This window comes from Homo sapiens, chromosome 11 (assembly GCF_000001405.40).
Source record: "Homo sapiens chromosome 11, GRCh38.p14 Primary Assembly".
Lineage (NCBI taxonomy): Eukaryota > Metazoa > Chordata > Mammalia > Primates > Hominidae > Homo > Homo sapiens.
In genome coordinates, this window is record NC_000011.10 from 47,032,437 (window position 1) to 47,052,055 (window position 19,619).

Sequence of the window (19,619 nt, forward strand, 5' to 3'; positions counted from 1 at the left end):
CTTCTGGAGAGAGTTGACTTTACAATTAATACAAACATATTTGACTAAAGAAAATGGAAGCATCTTCAGACCATTTCATCTTAATTATATCTTGTAAGGTTAAAAATATATAACTCACAAATAAATTTTAATTTAAAAAATTTTTTTAACTTTCATGTCACAGCCAAGTCCAAAAAATTTTAATTTTGATGTTTCTGGTTCTCTTGTGGCTAGATAATCCATAGAGATTTCCTGAACTTCTTATTCATGATAGCTTAAAAAGAAACATTCAGATCCCTGTGAATTGGACAAAAGGATATCTATTTTATGCTACTTTTTGTAGCATAAGGAAGAAGAGGAAATAAAAACACAATGGGCCCTTGAACAACATGAGGGTTACAGGTGCCGACCTCTCCTCTTCACTTAGTCTAAAATCCACATATAATTTTGGACTCACCAAGAACTTAACTACTGATAGTCTACTATTGACCTTACCAATAGCATTAAAACAGTTGATTAACACATACCTTGTATATGTATTTTATACTGTATTCCTACAACAAAGTAAGCTAGAGAAAAGAAAATGTTATTAAGAAAATCAAAAGGAAAATATATTTACTATTCATTAAGTTAAAGTGGATCATGATAAAGACCTCCATCTTTTTCTTCTTGATGTTAAGTGGCTGAGGAAGAGAAAGAGGAGGAGGAGTTGGTCTTGCTGTCTTAAGCGTGGCAGGGAAGAAGAGGTGGAGATTGTAGAAGGGGAGGCAGGCACACTCGGTGTAGCTTTATGAAAACACATGGTGATTTCTGATTTTTTTTGCCTTTTCATGTCTTTAAAAATGTTTCTATATGGTACCAATTTTTCTTCCATTTGCTTTAGTTTCAGTGCCTGTATCACTGAAGAGTTCATGTCATAAAAGAAGTCAAAAGCAGTCTTGAATAGTTGGAACTCTTCTGCCAGATGGTCTAATGTCAGTTTGTTTTCTGGCCCTGCTTCTGTGTCTTCTTCCCCTTCTATTCCTTCTTTTCTGGCACTGGTTCAGAAGCACTCACCTTCATCAAGTTGTCTTCTGTTAATTCCTCTGGTGTGATGTCTGTTAGCTCTTGAATTTCTCCAAGATCCATATCTTGGGACCCTTCCCCCACCTTCTTTGCCATATCCACAATCTCTTTCATGATCTCCTTGATTGGCTCTGTCGTAAATCCTGTGAAGTCATGCACAACATCTGGATGCAGTTTTCTCCAGCAGGAATCTATTGTTTGGGGCTCAATGGCTTTTTCCATAACAACAGTGGCATCTTCAATGGTGTAATCCTCCCAGACTTTCTTGATGTTCTATCAGGATTCTCTTCCATAGCGTTGACAGTCCTTTCCAACAGAGTACTATGTGTAATGGGCCTTAAAGGTCCTTATAACCCCCTGACTTAGGGGCTGAATTAGAAACATTGTGTTTGGGGGCAAGTATTACAGACCATTTTGATACCTTTGGTGTTGAACTCATGGGTTCTGGGTGGCCAGGGACATTGTCCAATTCAAAAGAACTTTAAAAGGCAGTCCATGTTGGTGTGCTGCACCCATTAATTCATCATTTACGTTAGGTATATCTCCTAACATGGCACATGTATAGATATGTAACAAACCTGCACGTTGTGCGCATGTACCCTAGAACTTAAAGTATAATAAAAATATATATATATAAAAATAAAAAAATAAAAATAAAAGGCAGTCCATTACCAGCAAGGTACATCCTGACTTCAGGAAGAATGTTGATGAAACCCAGTCCAGAAAAAATGGTTCTCATTATCCAGGGCTTCTTGTACAACACCCAAAACTGGCAACTGGTATTTATCTTTTCCCTTCAAAGCTCAGGGGTTACCAGCTTTATAGATAAGGGCAGTCCTAATCATAAACCTGACTGTGTTTGCACAAAATAGTAGAGTTAGCCCATCCCTTCCTGCCCTAAATCCTGGTGCTTGCATCTCTTCCTTACTAATAAGTGTCCTTTGTGGCATTTTTCCCCTTAGCATCTGCATTAAAAAACTGCTCAGGAAGATATCCTTTTTCCTCAATGATTTTTAAAAGCTTCTTTTTTTTTTTTTTTAGAGCAGGGTCTCACTGTGTTGCCCAGGCTGGAGTCCAGTGGCATGATTATAATTCACACCACCTCGAATTCCTGTGCTCGAGTGAGTTTCATGCTTCAGCCTCTTTAGTAGCTGGGACTACAGGCTTGTGCCACCACAGTCGGCTAATTTTTATTTTTGGTAGAGATGGGGTTTTTCCATGTTGCCCAAGCTGGTTTCAAACTCCTGGGCTCAAGCAATCCTCCCACCTCAGCCTTCCAAAGTGCTGGGATTACAGGCATGAGCCACTGCACCTGGTTGCCTCAATAATTTTCTTAATGGCATCTGGAAACTTGTTTGCTGCCTCTTGGTTGGCAGATGCTACTTCCCCTGATATCCTGATATTTTTTAAGCCAAAACTTTTTCTAAAATTATCAAACCATCCTTTACTGGCATTAAATTCTCCAGCTTTAGACCCTTCACCTTTCTTCTGCTTTAAGTTGTCATATAATGACTTCACTTTTTCTCAGATCATATTAGGGTCATATGCCTTTCTTATAGAAATCCTGCACTCCTATAAAAGCTGTGTTTTCAAGACAAGTTAAAAAAGTATTTCACCAAAAGTGCAATGTTTTTATGCCTGCTGATGTAGCTGCAGCAACTGCTTCATGAATTTCCTTTGTTTATAATTGTCCTTACCTTAGATTCATTTATCTTGAAATGAAGGCCAAACCACAGCTGCAGATCTCAATCTATGATGTATGTCAAGCAATTCAACTTTATCTTGTAACGTCATGAATTTTCTCTGTTTCTTGGGAGCACTTCCGGCATCACTAGTGACACTTCGTATGGGTCCGATAGTGTTATTTGAGGTTTATGGTTTTGTACTGAACACGATGAAAAATACATGAGAACCATGAGAGATCACTTTTTACTGTGATACACAATTTACTGGAGAAATGAACTGCCCATGCAGAGATGATTAGCATCACATGGTGTTTTAAGCAGATACTTGCAACACTTGTGCTCACTGCAATAGCAACAGGAGTTGGCTATGAATGAAATTATTATAGTAGTACAGTATGAGCTACAGTTAATTTTATACAGTTATGATTTAATACTGTATGTTTGCTTACATTTCTCTCCACTATGAATGGCACCATGTATGGTCTGTGTGTGTGTCAGTTTTGCTAAATGTTAACTTTTTATAACAGATTTGTGTATATTTTAATGTAGTAAATGATAAAATGGACTAGTGTCTACATATTTTATGCATTCAGGACATACTTTTAAAAATTTTTCCAATATGTGTAGGATGCACAGTTGGTCTGTGAGTTTTTTTTAAATTGCTGAAATCCCTCCAAAATTTCTAATATATTTATTGAAAAAAAATCCATGTATAAGTAGACCCACACAGTTCAAATCCATGCTGTTCAAAGGTCAACTGTATATACATGTATCTGCTCATCTGAGAAAAAAATATGCACACAGGAAGAATAAACCAGAGATGAATGAGATTCATTATCTCTAAGATGTTAGTGAAATGGAGTGAAAAGATATATATATATATATATATATTATATATATATAATATATAAATTATATATATTATATTATATATTATATATTATATATAATGTATATTATAATATACAATATAATATATAATATATTATATATAATGCATATTATAATATATAAATATATATTTATATTATATATTATATATTATATTAATATATAATATATATAATATATTATATTTATATATTATATATTATATAATATATATATTATATATTATATTTATATATTCAACAAGATTGGGGGAGACTCTAAAATTGAAAACAAACAAGTGAAGCAAATTGTATTTCAAATGAATAATATACCGTACTGCAGGGGGTTGGAGAAACTAATCTAAGGAACATAATATTTGGACTATATACCCTCAGGCTAAAACAACTCTAAACAAGTATTAAACTCTAATTAGTAGGCTTCTTTTTCACAGAGGAATGGGTTAGCTAGCTCAGTACATTTTAGGATTAAGCAAATAAGTAAATATGTTATAGATAATAGGAGCCTTTTTCTCACTTTAGAAAAAGGACATTTCAGATATGGAAAGGGAAGATGATAGAATGTAACCTGTAGTGTTGAACTGGAATTGAATCAGTGTGAGCTCATAGATTTGTTTTGTTTTGTTTTGTTTTGTTTTGTTTGAGACGCAGTCTCTTCTCTGTCACCCAGGCTGGAGTGCAGTGGCACAACCTTGGCTCACTGCAACCTCTGCCTCCCGGGTTCAATCAATTCTCCTCCCTCAGCCTCCCGAGTAGCTGGGATTACAGGCGAGTGCCACCACGCCCAGCTAATTTTTTTTATTTTTCTTAGAGGGGTGGAGTTTTGCCATGTTGGCCAGGCTGGTCTCGAACTCCTGACCTCTGGTGATCCGCCCACCTCGGCCTCCCAAAGTGCTGGGATTACAGGAGTGAGCCACCACGCCCAGCCTATTCTTTACTAAAAACAACTGGGCTTCTTGGATAAATGGCTGGCTCCAGGGTGAAGTAGGGAAAGAACAAGATGATCCTGGAACATCTTATTCTATCAAAAAAGGAAGGAAGTGATCAGAGAATTATGTAGATGTGTCAAAAGGACATAGAAGTCAGCTTGAAGGGCTTCCATGGCAAAATATGGGATCATTTGAACATAAAAATATATAATGATAGTAAAGGATTATAACCTATTGAATAAAGAATCCATGAGTCCACAATGATATAAATAAATAAGAAGGGAAAGCTCTTCCTTATTGTAGAAGGTCGACTTAAAAACGTAGATGAAACGACGTAGTTGGAAAAAGATCACCATTTGGCAAAACCTTCATATTCATTGTTGGTTCTGGCAACAATTATTATTATTATTATTTTTTTTTTTTAATTGATCATTCTTGGGTGTTTCTCGCAGAGGGGGATTTGGCAGGGTCACAGGACAATAGTGGAGGGAAGGTCAGCAGATAAACAAGTGAACAAAGGTCTCTGGTTTTCCTAGGCAGAGGACCCTGCGGCCTTCTGCAGTGTTTGTGTCCCTGGGTACTTGAGATTAGGGAGTGGTGATGACTCTTAAGGAGCATGCTGCCTTCAAGCATCTGTTTAACAAAGCACATCTTGCACCGCCCTTAATCCATTCAACCCTGAGTGGATACAGCACATGTTTCAGAGAGCACAGGGTTGGGGGTAAGGTCACAGATCAACAGGATCCCAAGGCAGAAGAATTTTTCTTAGTGCAGAACAAAATGAAAAGTCTCCCACGTCTACCTCTTTCTACACAGACACGGCAACCATCCGATTTCTCAATCTTTTCCCCACCCTTCCCCCCTTTCTATTCCACAAAACCGCCATTGTCATCATGGCCCCTTCTCAATGAGCTGTTGGGTACACCTCCCAGATGGGGTGGTGGCCGGGCAGAGGGGCTCCTCACTTCCCAGTAGGGGCGGCCGGGCAGAGGGCTGACCCCCCCCACCTCCCTCCTGGACGGGGCGGCTGGCCGGGCAGAGGGGCTCCTCACTTCCCAGTAGGGGCGGCCGGGCAGAGGCGCCCCTCACCTCCCGGATGGGGCGGCTGGCCGGGCGGGGGGCTGACCCCCCCACCTCCCTCCCGGATGGGGCGGCTGGCCCGGGCGGGGGGCGGACCCCCCCACCTCCCTCCCAGACGGGGCGGCTGGCCGGGCAGAGGGACTCCTCACTTCCCAGTAGGGGCGGCCGGCCAGAGGCGCCCCTCACTTCCCGGATGGGGCGGCTGGCCGGGCGGGGGGCTGACCCCCCCACCTCCCTCCCGGACGGGGCGGCTGGCCGGGCGGGGGGCTGACCCCCCACCTCCCTCCTGGACGGAGTGGCTGGCCGGACAGAGGGGCTCCTCACTTCCCAGTAGGGGCGGCCGGGCAGAGGCGCCCCTCACCTCCCGGATGGGGCGGCTGGCCGGGCGGGGGGCTGACCCCCCCACCTCCCTCCCGGACGGGGCGGCCGGCCAGGCAGAGGGGCTCCTCACTTCCCAGTAGGGGCGGCCGGGCAGAGGCGCCCCTCACCTCCCGGACGGGGCGGCTGGCCGGGCGGGGGGCTGATCCCCCCACCTCCCTCCCGGACTGGGAGGCTGGCCGGGCGGGGGTCTGACCCCCCCACCTCTCTCCCGGACGGGGTGGCTGGCCGGGCGGGGGGCTGACCCCCCCACCTCCCTGCCGGACGAGGTGGCTCCCGGGCAGAGACGCTCCTCACTTCCCAGACGGGGTGGCTGCTGGGCGGAGGGGCTCCTCACTTCTCAGATGGGGCGGTTGCCGGGCGGAGGGGCTCCTCACTTCTCAGACGGGGCGGTTGCCAGGCAGAGGGTCTCCTCACTTCTCAGACGGGGCGGCTGGGCAGAGACGCTCCTCACATCCCGGACGGGGCGGCAGGGCAGAGGTGCTCCCCACATCTCAGAGGATGGGCCGCCGGGCAGAGACGCTCCTCACTTCCCAGATGGGATGGCGGCCGGGAAGAGGCGCTCCTCACTTCCTAGATGGGATGGCGGCCGGGCAGAGACGCTCCTCACTTTCCAGACTGGGCAGCCAGGCAGAGACGCTCCTCACTTCCCAGACGGGGTGGCGGCCGGGCAGAGGCTGCAATCTCGGCACTTTGGGAGGCCAAGGCAGGCTGCTGGGAGGTGAAGGTTGTAGCGAGCCGAGGTCACGCCACTGCACTCCAGCCTGGGCACCATTGAGCACGGAGTGAATGAGACTCCGTCTGCAATCCCGGCACCTCAGGATGCCGAGGCTGGCGGATCACTCGCGGTTAGGAGCTGGAGACCAGCCCAGCCAACACAGCGAAACCCCGTCTCCACCAAAAAAATACGAAAACCAGTCAGGCGTGGCGGCGCGCGCCCAGGCAGTTGGCAGGCTGAGGCAGGAGAATCAGGCAGCAGTACCGTCCAGCTTCAGCTCCGCATCAGAGGGAGACCGTGGAGAGAGGGAGAGGGAGACCGTGGGGAGAGGGAGAGGGAGAGGGAGCTCTGGTACTTTCTTATAGCCACACGAACAGATAAAGACTGTACCTATCTGTTGGCTGGGCGCAGTGGCTCACGTCTGTAATCCCAGCACTTCGGGAGGCTTAGACAAGCGGATCACGAGGTCAGGAGATCGAGACCATCCTGGCTAACATGATGAAACCCCGTCTCTACTAAAAATACAAAAAATTTAGCTGGGCGCGGTGGCGGGCGCCTGTAGTCCCAGCTACTCAGGAGGCTGAGGCACGAGAATGGCATGAACCCGGGAGGCGGAGCTTGCAGTGAGCCGAGATCGTGCCACTGCAGTCCGTCCTGGGCGAAAGAGCGAGACTCCGTCTCAAAAAAACAAACAAACAAGAGGTCCAGAGTGTGACAACATGGCCTTGCAACCTTGTGCTCAGGGACCCTGGAGGCAGTCCTTCATAGGTCTGCTGGAACTCGCCAACAATTATTAATAGATACTAAAATTTGTGAATGAAAGTTTGAAGAGTAACTATATATTTCCACAGACTCAAAATGTCTTCCCACAGGATACTTATCCATTACAAAGGCTAACTTTATAGTGGCAAAACCTGGCAGATGCTGCTCTAACTAAAGAATCAAAGTTAACATCCCCAGTAATTAGACTAATCAGCAAGTGCCCCCAGATGTGATGCACTGAGAGGAACTCAGCATCACCTTTGTGATAATCCTGCCAAAGGGGCATAACCTGAATTGAATTATGAGGGGGCATCAGACACACCCAAATTCAAGAACATTCTACAAAGTAACCTGTACAACAGGTTTTCAAATAACTTTGTTTCATTTAACATCATTTTCATTGTAACTATTTTGTGGTTTAAGATCATTTTATGAAGAGCAAGAGGCAGGGAGAGATGGCAGGGAGGACAACTAGAGCACTTCTACACCCACCAGGAGAATAGACTCCCTCCCTGCTTCCTGTTGTGCTGGACCCCTATTGACTTCAGTAGGGATGGCACCATGTTTGCGAGGCTGAAAAAGAGACATGGAGCCAGCAAATGAAACATAAGGTTTTTTGAGGGGATTTACATACAGGGCAGTCCAGGGGCAGCATGCTGAACAGGAGAACTGCTACCACTTATAAAAAAGCATGCAGTTTATACAGCATTTTCACTTAGCCCCTCGACCCCGGCAATCTCCACCTGGCAACCTTCATCCAACCCAAAACAAAGGGCCTCGAACCCCTGTATGGCCTGTGATCCATGGGATGGATCAGATGGTTCAGATGTTCCTCATAGATAAAGAATGAATCTCTGGGTTGGCCATTCCCAAATTCCTTCACTCAGAACTCTGAACACACATTCATCTTAGACCACAGGGTCATTCTCAGGGTATGCTTCAATTATTTATGACAGGTGCATCTACCATACACCTGCTCCCCAAGTGGCTCCCTTGTACTATGGCAGCGGTGGTGGGGAGGGATTTGTGTAAACTCTGCCCTGGAGGGTGGGGAAGGTGAAGGTTGGATGTAAAATGGCAGCAGCTGGGGCTGGCAGTGGTGCTGCTGGGTGCTACAGGGCTTGTAGGGTTCCATAAAGAGGGCTGAGAAGGTGTTGACTTTGTCTGCCCCCTGCACCTCATGGGGAAACAGTGGCAGTTTCACAGTGCAAAAGTCTTTATAAGTGTTCTCCGTCTGGTTCAGATACTTGGCCTGGATCTTGTGTCAGGCCTCACATATCTTTCAGGATTTTCAGGGTTGGGGAAGAGAAGCTGGGTGATGATGATGTTGTATGTGTCAATCTTGTACTTGGCCAGCTCCTGGATCAGTCACTCTGTCTCATACAGGGATAGAACTCAGGGATATATTCGCAGATGATACAGGTAATCTACTCAGGGCCCTTGAACTGTTTGCTGACAAAGTAGATGATGGACAGTGTCTACTTCAGCATGGAGGACAGCACGTCTGTGTTCATGTCCCCAAGACCTAGAACGTTGCATGTCTGTAAGATAAAGGGGCTGATCTGGTTCTTGATCTGCTGAGTGTCATGTCAACCACCACCACTGAGAAGTTCATGCCCTTCACCAGCCTCATGACCTCAGCATAGCTCATGGCCTCATTGATGCCGGGAAAGGCGCTCATGGCTTCCTGCATCAACTTCTTGCTCATGCTCAGCATGTTTTCCTTCTCAAAGAACTCACTGGGCAGCTATGCTGCACCCTGGCTGGGGTCAATTTCCACAGTGAAGAGGTTGTCAGAGCCTTTGACCTTGGTAGGCACCTTTGAGAACTTCTGGTCAAAACCATCTGAGATGTTGTGGGCTAGGTCTGTGGAGATGATCAGAATACTTTCATGCCCTTTTGATAGCTGGATGGCCAGGCTGCAACTGCAAGTGGTCTTTCCCATGCCACCTTTGCGCCAGCAAGGATCCACTTAACTTAAGGCTGCATTTCTCAATGATGTTGCTAAACCTAGGCTCCAGTGGCTCTTGGAGGCTGACTTTGGGAGACTGAGGTGGAAGGATCACTTGAAGCCAGGAGTTTGAGATCGGCCTGGAAGTGAGACCCCATCTCTACAAAAAAAAATTTTTTTAAATAGACAAGCATGATTGTGTGTGCTTGTAGTCCCAGCTACTCAGGAGGCTGAGGTGGGAGGATCACTTGAGCTCAGGAGTTCAAGGCTACAGTGAGCTATGATTGCATCACTGCATTCCAGCCTGGGCAACAGAGCAAGTCCCTGTCCAAAAAAATAAAAAATAAAATAAAGAAAGAGAGGAAGGAAGGAAGGATGGATGGATGGAAGAAAGATTTCATTATTTTTAGGGAATATTTTTAGGAATTCCTTATTTCCTAATTTTTATTTATCTTGCTCAGCACTTTGACTTCTGTTTTTTTTTTTTTTTTGAAATACTGTAGGAGTAAACAAGCGTCACGTCTATAACTTACTCTTAAATAGTTCCAAAAAATGATAATATGTATATACATATGTACTTATATGTCTGTGTGTGTGTGTGAGAGAGAGAGAGAGAAAAGAGAGTGAGTGAGAGTAAATGTAGCAAAATATTCACATTTGAGTAATCCAGGTAAAGGATATTCAGGAATTCTTTGTGCTATTATAACTTTTTGGTAAATTTGAAATTACAATATGTCAAAATTTTTAAAAATTAAAATCTTCAAGGAAAAACTTCAACAACTTAAAGAATAAAAAAAATTGCTCAATGAAATTTGAATACTCGTTTTGGCAAAATCTGTTTATGGCAGACATATGGTGTACTTCTGTATGGCCTTTAAGATATTTTTAGGAACTTTTTTGTTTTACTTTAGAGGAAAGATTAATGTCTATTAAAGAACTTTGTAGTTTAGTCAAATACAATGAAAAATTAGTGCAAATATGCATTTTTAAGCTTGGTAGGTCAAATGTTTGTTTTGGATTTCTGGTCATGATGGCTTGCAGTGTTCATGACTTGGGCCTCTTATTCATTTCATACACATGGTAATGATACATAAAATTTTCTAAGATTTTTAAGGACATAGCCATGTATAAAATTAATATAAATTCATCTGACTAGGAACTCACTAAACCACAATGCAGTAAGTGGGACTGTAACCACATGCCTCCTGTGCTCTGGATTCAGAAGGCGTAGGTAACTGAAAGCTCATTTCTTGAATGGTGGAGACTCAAAATGTTATACACACAGTGCAGGAGACTGGAGCTAGCCCCTTTTGCCTCCACCACTTTAAGAAAGACTCAAAAAAAGTTATGACTGCTACCTGAGAAATGGCTTACATAAAACCTGGAGGTTTAGCCAGGTGCGGTGGTGCACACCTGTAGCCCCAGCTGTTTGGAAAGCTGAGGCAGGAGAATCCCTTGAGCCAGGAGTTTGAGACCAGCCTGGGCAACATAGTGAGACCCCGTCTATTAAAAAAACAAAAACCTTGAGGTGTGGGAGGAAGCAGACAGCCTTACAGCCAGGTCTTAGTGGTCCAACCTCCTTAGGGGTACAGTGACAATCTGTATGATATCCCTAATATCAGGAATGGAGCCATAAGCCATCCAATACAAGACCTGGTTCTGGACTAGGGTCTGTCCACAAGAGAGAGTAGAAACCTCCCACTTCACATGAACTTATACGCTGAAATTCTAAAATACATGAGGAACACTGATGTTGAGAAAGATAGTCAATAAACCCAATAAACATAAATTTACTCCAGAGAAAACAAAAATAGTTGAACATTTAAAACTGACTTTGAGGCCAGGTTGAGGTGGCTCACACCTGTAATCCTGGCATTTTCAGAGGCCAAAGTGGGTGGATCACTTGAGCCCAGGAGTTTGAGACCAGCCTGGGCAACATGGCGAAACCCTGTCTCTACAATCCTGTCTCTAGATATAAAAAGGCATGGTGGCATGCGCCTGTAGATTCAGCTACTTGGGAGGCACTTATTATCTTTAAATTATTCATTCTCTATTCTGTCTGGTCAGCCTGAATAATGCAGGTTCTACAATGTATCTACCATGTAGGTTTATTTTTATTTATTTATTTATTTTTGAGATGGAGTCTCGCTCTGTCACCCAGGCTGGAGTGTAGTGGCGTGATCTCGGCTCACTGCAACCTCTGCCTCCCAGGTTCAACCAATTCTCCTGCCTCAGCCTCCCAAGTAGCTGGGATTACAGGCATGCACCATCACGCCTGGCTAATTTTTTTGTGTTTTTAGTAGAGACAGGGTTTCACCATATTGGCCAGGCTGGTCACAAATTCCTGACCTTGTGACCCACCCGCCTCGACCTCCCAAAATGCTGGGATTACAGGTGTGAGCCACCGCTCCTGGACAGTTTATTTTTATTTATCTTACTCAGCACTTTGACTTCTGTTTTGTTTTTTGTTGTTGTTGTTAGTTCTGGAAAATTCTCAGCCAATATATATACATGTGTATTTCTTGAGATAGGATCTCACATTATTGCCCAGGCTGGAGCGCAGTCACGTGAATCTTGCAGAATTGTAGAATCTGCATTACTTAGGCTGAACAGACAGAATAGAGAATGAATAATTTAAAAGATAATAACATAAAGAGATAAAAAACTATGAAGACAGGTAAGAGGCATTAAAAAGCTACAATGTATATCTAATAGGAAACAGAAGAAAATGATATAGGGAATGGCAAAGAAGCAATATTTTAAAAAGAATTGGGGGGTGCAGTGACTCACATCTATAATTCTAGTACTTTGGGAGGCTGAGGCAGGAGGATTGCTTGAGGACCAGCCTGAGCAACATAGCGAGCTCCCATCTCTACAAAAAAATTAAGTTTAGCCAGGCATGGTTGTGTGCACCTGTAGTCCCAGCTACTCAGGAAGCTGAGGTGGGAGGATCACTTGAACCCAGGAGTTCAAGCTTCTAGTGAGCTATGGTCATGCTACTGCACTCCAGCCTGGGCAACAAAGTGAGATCCTGTCTCAAAAAATGTATATGTGGGCTGAGAATTTTCCTGAACTGACAAAAAACAGAAGTCAGTTTAAAGTACTGAGCAAGATAAATAAAAATAAACCTACATGGTAGATACATTGTAGAATCTGCATTAATGATAAAGAAAATTGTTTATATGAATTATAAGAATGATTAACTCCAAAGGAATGGCAGGAGTTTGACAGCAGTTTGCTTGATATCAGTGATAGGTGCGAGGTGACAACTGGGTGGTATCTTTAAAGTGCTGAGAGAAGATAAGTAACAACCAGAATTCTCCACTGAATTAAATTTCACTCCAGAAGGTAAAATAAAGATATTTTGAGGTAGATGAAAACTGAGAGCATTTACCACTCACAGGCTTTTGCTGAAAGAACTACAGGTTTATGTATATTAATAAATTTCACAATTCAAAAAAAGCTTTGAAAACCTGAAGTTGTCCTTTGGTAAGTTTTCAGCAACCTCATTTGTGGGGCAAACTTGACCTAAACTAGTTCATGGGCTAATTTTGGTCTTTGTTTATCCCACTTAGTGTGAATACTTATATGTTTCACTGTGGAGACTTTAATATGTTTGAATCCATGGGGTGCTATCCCAACCCTGCTGAAGGTGTTATATCACATCTGGTTTGTGCAACCTTTATAAAATCTCAAAATTTGTCACTTCCAAACCAGAAAGGTCCCAGGATTTCAGATAAGTGATTATGGATCTTATTAAAGGATTATGGATCTTATTTCTTTAGCAAGAAATAATTGAACCAAGAGTGAAGGAGCAGAATGTGGGAAACAGTAGTGAGCATGAAAATTGATTTGATAAATGTAGGTAAACTTAATTAATTATTGATTTTTTTAAAGTAGTCATTTTTTTCTTTTTTCTCTTTTTTTTCTTTTTGAGATGGAGTCTCACTCTGATGCCCAGGCTGGAGTGCAGTGGTGCCATCTAGGCTCACTGCAACCTCCGTCCCCCGGGTTTAAGCAATTCTCCTGCCTCAGCCTCCCGAGTAGCTGGGATTACAGGCACCTGCCACCACACCTGGGTAATTTTTGTATTTTTAGTAGAGACGGGGTTTCACCATGTTGGCCAGGCTGGTCTTGTACTCCTGACTTCATGATGCACCCGCCTCAGCCTCCCAAAGTGCTGGGATTACAGGCGTGAGCCACCACTCCCAGCCTAAAGTGGTAATTTTTACATTTAAAAAGGTATATTGTCCTGTAGGTATGGGGGTGAATTTTTTAAAAAAGGAAAAAAAAGGAAAAGGTAGATATCAAAAGAAATAAATGACATCCAAATTGGAAAGTAAAAGGTAAAACTATATTCACAGGTTACATGGTCCTATGCATAAAAAGCATCCTAAAGAATCCACCAAAAGAAAAAAAAAAAAAAAAAACTTCTAGAGCTTATAAATGAATTCAGCAAAGTTGCAGGGGACAAGAGCAACACATAAAAATCAGTTGTTTCTATATACCATCAATGAACAATCTAAAAAGGAAATTAAGAAAAGCAATTCTGTTTAAAAGAGCATCCAAAAGATTTAGTCTATTAGGAATAAGTCTAACTGAGGAGGTGAAAGACTTGCACACTGAAAACTATAAAACATTGCTGAATGAAATTAAAGAAGAGCTAAATAAATAGAAAGACACCCTGAGTACATGGATAGGATGATGTAACACTGTTAACATGTCAGTTCTACCCAAAGCAATCTACTGATTCAACACAATTTTCTTTTCTTTTCTTTTATCTTCTTTTCTTTTTTTTTTTTTTTTTTTTTTTTGAGACAGAGTCTCACTCTGCCACCCAGGCTGGAGTGCAGTGGCGTGATCTCGGCTCACTGCAACCTCCACCTCCCAGGTTCAAGTGATTCTCCTGCTCAGAATCCTGAGTAGCTGGGATTACAGGCATCCACCACCATGCCCGACTAATTTTTGTATTTTTAGTAGAGATGGGGTTTCACCATGTTGGTCAGGCTGGTTGATTGAACACAATTTCTTTTCTTTTTTTTTTTTTTGAGATGGAGTCTCACTCTGTCTCCCAGGCTGGAGTGCAGTGGCTCAATCTCAGCTCACTACAACCTCCACCTCCCGGGTTCAAGCGGTTCTTCTGCCTCAGCCTCCAGAAAAGCTGGGATTACAGGTGCCCGCCACCACACCTGGCTAATTTTTGTATTTTTAGTAGATACAGGGTTTCACCATGTTGGCCAGGCTGGTCTTGAACTCCTGACCTCAGGTGATCTGCCCGCGTCAACCTCCCAAAGTGCTAGGATTACAGACGTGAGCCACCGCACCTGGCGATTCAACAAAATTTCTATCAAAATAAATAGGCTTTTTCACTGAGAGAAGAAGCTAATCCTCAAAATCATATGGAATAGCCAGGACAATCTTGAAAAAAGAATATAAAATTGGAAAGTTCAAACTTCCCAACTATAAAACTAGCTATGAAGCCACAGTAATTCAAGTATTATGGTCCTGGCATAAGGACAAACATATAGACCACTGGAATAGATTAGGAAGCCCAGAAATAAATCTTTACATATATGGTCATTTGATTTCCTGCAAAGGTGCAATTCAATAGGGAAAGGACAGTCTTTTCAACCAATGGTGCTGGGAAAACTGGATATCCACGTGTGAAAGAATGAAATTGGACTACAACACTCTTAGAAGAAAACAGGGGACAGTTTTCATAACATTAAATTTAGCAATTATTTCATGGATATAACACCAAAAGCATAAGGAACAAAAAATATAGATAAATTGGACTTCATCAAAATTAAGAACTTTTGTGCATCAAAGGATACTATCATGAAAGTGAAAGGACAACCTACACAATAGAAGAAAATATTTGCAAATCATATATCCAATAAGGAATTAATATCCAGAATATGTAAAGAACTCCTGCAACTCAACAACAACAAAACAACCCAATTTAAAAATGGGCAAAGGACTTGAAGAGACATTTCTCCAAAGAAGATATCCAAATGGCCAACACATGAAAAGATGCTCAACATCATTAGTCATTGGTAAAATGCAAATCAAAACAACAATAAGATGCCACTTCACATCTTCTAGGTTGGCTGTTTTTTAAAAAGGAAAATAGCATGTGTTGCTGAGGAGGTGGACAAATTGGAGCCCTTGTGCATTGCTAGTGAGAATGTAAAATAGTACAGCTGCTCTGGAAAACAGTTCGGTTGTTTCTCAAAAGGTTAAACCTATAACTACCATATGACCCAGCAATTGCACTTGTAGGTATACATCTAAAAGAATTAAAGAAGGAACTGAAACAGATACTTGTATACAAATCATAGCAGCATTATTCACAATAGCCAAAAGGTGGAAGTAACCCAAGGGTCCATCAACAGATCAATGGATAAACAATAGATGGTACATACATACAAAGGAATATTATTCTGCTTTAAAAAGAAAATAAATTTATGGCCCTGCAGTGGCTTACACCTGTAATCCCAACACTTTGGGAAGGTACGGTTGAAGGATCATTTAAGGCCAGGAGTTCAAGGCTTGAGACCAGCCTGGGCAACATAGGGAGACCCTGTCTCTATTATTTAAAAATTATGAAGGAAGGAAAGAAGGAAGGAGGGAAAGAAAGAAAGAAATTTTGATACATGCTACATGTACGGCCCTTGAAGACATTATTCTTAGTGAAATAGGCCAGAACGACAGATATTACATGATTCCACTTATATGAGGTACTTAGAATAGGCAAATATATAGAGATAGAAAGTAGAATAGAGGTTATGAGGGTCTGGGGGGTGGGCAGAAGGGGGTGTTGTTGTTTAATTGATGTAGAGTTTTTGTTGGGGATGATGAAAAAGTTTTGGGTATTGATAGTGTTCATGGTTGCACAGCATTGTGAATATATTTAATGACACTGAATTGTACAGTTGCAAATGGTTAAATGATAAATATTATGTATAGTTTACCACATTAAAAAAGTTTTCCAATTTAAAAAGAGATAGATTCTAGTCACATTCTAAAAAATAATATCAGAAGATGAGAAGACTGCACATAAGTTATAGAAAGTGTGCTTTGGGCTTTGTCTTGTTTTATTTTTATTTTTGTTTTGTTTGTTTATTTATTTTGAGACAGGGTCTTGCTCTGTCACCCAGGCTGGAGTGCAGTGGTGCGATCACAGCTCACTGCAGCCTTGACCTCCTAGGCTCCAGCAGTCCTCCCACCTCAGCCTCTCAAGTAGCTGGGACCAAAGGCATGCACCACCATGCCCAGCTAATTTTTGTAATGTTTCATAAAATCAAGGTTTCACTATGTTGCCCAGGCTGGTCTCAAACTGCTGAGCTCAAGCAGCCCACCCACCTCAGCCTTCCAAAGTGCTGGGATTATAGGCATAAGCCACCATGCCTGGCCCATTGTCTTGTTTTGGAGAGTTATAAAGATAATGAGTATTTTCAGACATTTTCAAAAATATGTAGATAGGCCAGGCGCGGTGGCTCATGCCAGTAATCCCAACACTTTGGGAGGCTGAGATGGGTGGATCACTTGAACTCAGGAGTTTGAGACCAGTCAGGGCAACATGGTAAGACCCCATCTCTACTAAAAATCCAAAAAAATAGCTGAGTGTGATGATGCCTGCCTTTGGTCCCAGCTAATTGGGAGGCTGAGGTGGGAGGATCAGTGCTTGAGCCTGGAGGGCAGAGGTTGCAGTGAGCCAAGATGGGGCCACTGCACTCCAGACTGGGTGACAGTGGGAGACAATGTCTGGGGAAAAACAATGTAGATAAATATTATGTTAATGTTTTAAGATGGGGTCTCACCATATTGCCCAGGCTGGACTCAAACTGCTGGGCTCAAGCGATCCTCCATCCTCAGCCTCTGAGTAGAACTACAGGCATGCACCACCATGCCTGGCTGATTATGTTAAATTTTAATACTGAAAGATTATAGATTTTGTCTATAGCTTCCAAACTAACAGGGAGGGTAGAAAAGAATTAAAACAAAACTTTACTAACACAATAGAAGGTGGGAAAAGAAGGTGGGGAAAGGGAAAGAAGAATGGATAATGGGAAAGACAAAATAAGATATCAGGTCAGAAATTAATCAGATACACTGAAAAGCTACTCGTTAACATATAGTGACTGTAAGGTTGGGTAGAGAAGCAGAATCTAGCCATATGCTATTTACAAGAGATATACATAAACAAAATGACCTAGAAGGGTTATTAAAGGCACAGAAACAGATACACCAGGAAAATACCAATCAAAATAAAGCTGGTATTGCAATATTATAATAAAAATATCAGACTCAAAGCCTGGAATTTAGAAAAATTAGTAAGATATAGACTTTCAATATTTCCTGTGTGGCTAGCTTCAAAGATACATTCTACCTGGCATCACTTACCTGTCTTTCTTATCTTTCTAAATCAATTTCCACAAATATTTATGAGTAACTATCAGTTAGGTAATGAGTCAGGTAATATAGTAGAGGCAAAGATGAGTACAGCCTAAGTGCTTACTCCATAGAACTGACAGTCTAATAGGAGAAAGTCCAGTAACTTTAAAACAAAGTAGCAAATTGTGAGCACTGTTAGAGAGTTTTAAGTGAGATACGATGGAAATTGGGCATGGGAGATAAAATCAGGAAAAGACTTTACACAAAATTGGCATTTGAGATGGTCTTTAAAAGCTATACCAAAGCTATAATTTCACTAGACCATGACCTAGACATCAGCTTTTTCCCCCTTAGAATATGAAGCACAATTTGGGACTACTTCTTTGCTGGACAGTTTCATAAATTTAGGCTACAGTATTATCATTTCAGACTTCATTTGCTGGAAATGTAGCCTACTGCATTTACCTATAACAGCTCATTTGCTGTATTTTTTATTTTCCTTTCCTTAAGACAATAGCACTGCGTGGTTAGGTTAACACTTTCATTGCTTTTGAAAGCCCCTCTTCTAACCTAATCTTTTGCCAGGTGATGTCCGCATACTTCCTCAGGGTGTCTTAGAAGTAGATTTCTATGCTAGCTCTCCATGAAAGGAGAAGAGTATATAATTTGCTTTTTCATACAGTGCTGTTACTATTAGGAAGGAACTAACTTTATTCTAAATGAAAACACACTCTATATTAAAGACAAGTTAGATACTTTCCCATGAAGTTGGTCTAGGAGAAGGGAAACGGAATAGATGCCTCCTGAAATTTTTTCCTGTTCCATTCAGAGTCAGATTTTTCCCCCCCTTTATATGGTCAACAAATGAAAACTGGCATTTGGAATTACCATCGTTCCCCCCATTGCTTGCCATCTTCAAATTTAATGTCTGCCTCTCCACAAAGATTAACATGTTTCCACTCCTGATTTACTTGTCAGGGAATTTAGAAGTTTTCTGGAACCTAAAGTTCACTCTGGTAGGGATGATTACTGGATAATTGCCTATTCTTCGGTGGAATTTCCACTTTTAGATTACACCAGGCTCTACAGCCTTTATTTCTTTGGCAGGAAAACCCAAAGGCAATGGAGTATATTTTTTTCCCTTCCCTGGCCCAGCTTAAACAATGACTCACTTGGGCCCTGGGGCTTTGCTTCATACTCTCATTTAGGGGCCACTTTATACCCTTGTTTCTATTTTCCTTTCTTGTTCTGTTTGGACCCTTTATATCCTTTGGCACATGGGATTTGTCTCTGGGGTTATTGTCAGAGAGATATATAAAACCACCCCAAACTGGAACAGCCACTCCAGTTATGTCCCCATAGCCATGTCATCCTTATGGCAGCTGGTATAGGCCAGGGAGAGTACAGAAATAATATCTTTTTTCTTTTTTTTTTTTTTTTTTGAGACTGAGTCTCACTCTGTTGATCAGGCTGGAGTGCAGTGGCATGATCTCGGCTCACTGCAACCTCCACCTCCCAGGTTCAAGTGATTCTCCTGCCTCAGCCTCCCGAGTAGCTGGAATGACTGGTGCACGCCACCATGCCCAGCTAATTTTTGTATTTTTAGTAGAGACAGGGTTTCACCATGTTGGCCAGGCTGGTCTCCAACTCCTGACCTCAAGTGATCCACCCGCCTTGGCCTCCCAAAGTGCTGGGATTACAGGCGTGACCCACTGCGCCCAGCCCAGAAATAATATCTTTAAGGAAACCTAATTCCAAATGCAGTAGAGGGAAAAGTATTCTCCAAAA

General features: G+C 42.4%; 1 protein-coding gene and 1 pseudogene across 7 annotated transcripts in view, besides 1 other annotated feature; one reads left to right on the plus strand and one right to left on the minus strand.

Annotated features, from left to right (window-relative positions):
• Positions 1-19,619, plus strand: part of CSTPP1 (centriolar satellite-associated tubulin polyglutamylase complex regulator 1) — a 227,697-nt gene that overhangs the window by 95,748 nt on the left and 112,330 nt on the right. The window lies entirely within an intron of this gene.
• Positions 960-1,535: an enhancer, noted in NCBI's record as "OCT4-NANOG hESC enhancer chr11:47054947-47055522 (GRCh37/hg19 assembly coordinates)". NCBI's record gives its function as "activates a minimal SCP1, AML or CMV promoter by ChIP-STARR-seq in primed H9 embryonic stem cells {active_cell/tissue: H9 hESC(primed)}" and the evidence as "EXISTENCE:reporter gene assay evidence [ECO:0000049][PMID:30033119]".
• Positions 7,484-9,432, minus strand: LOC112268075 (ATPase Get3-like; annotated as a pseudogene).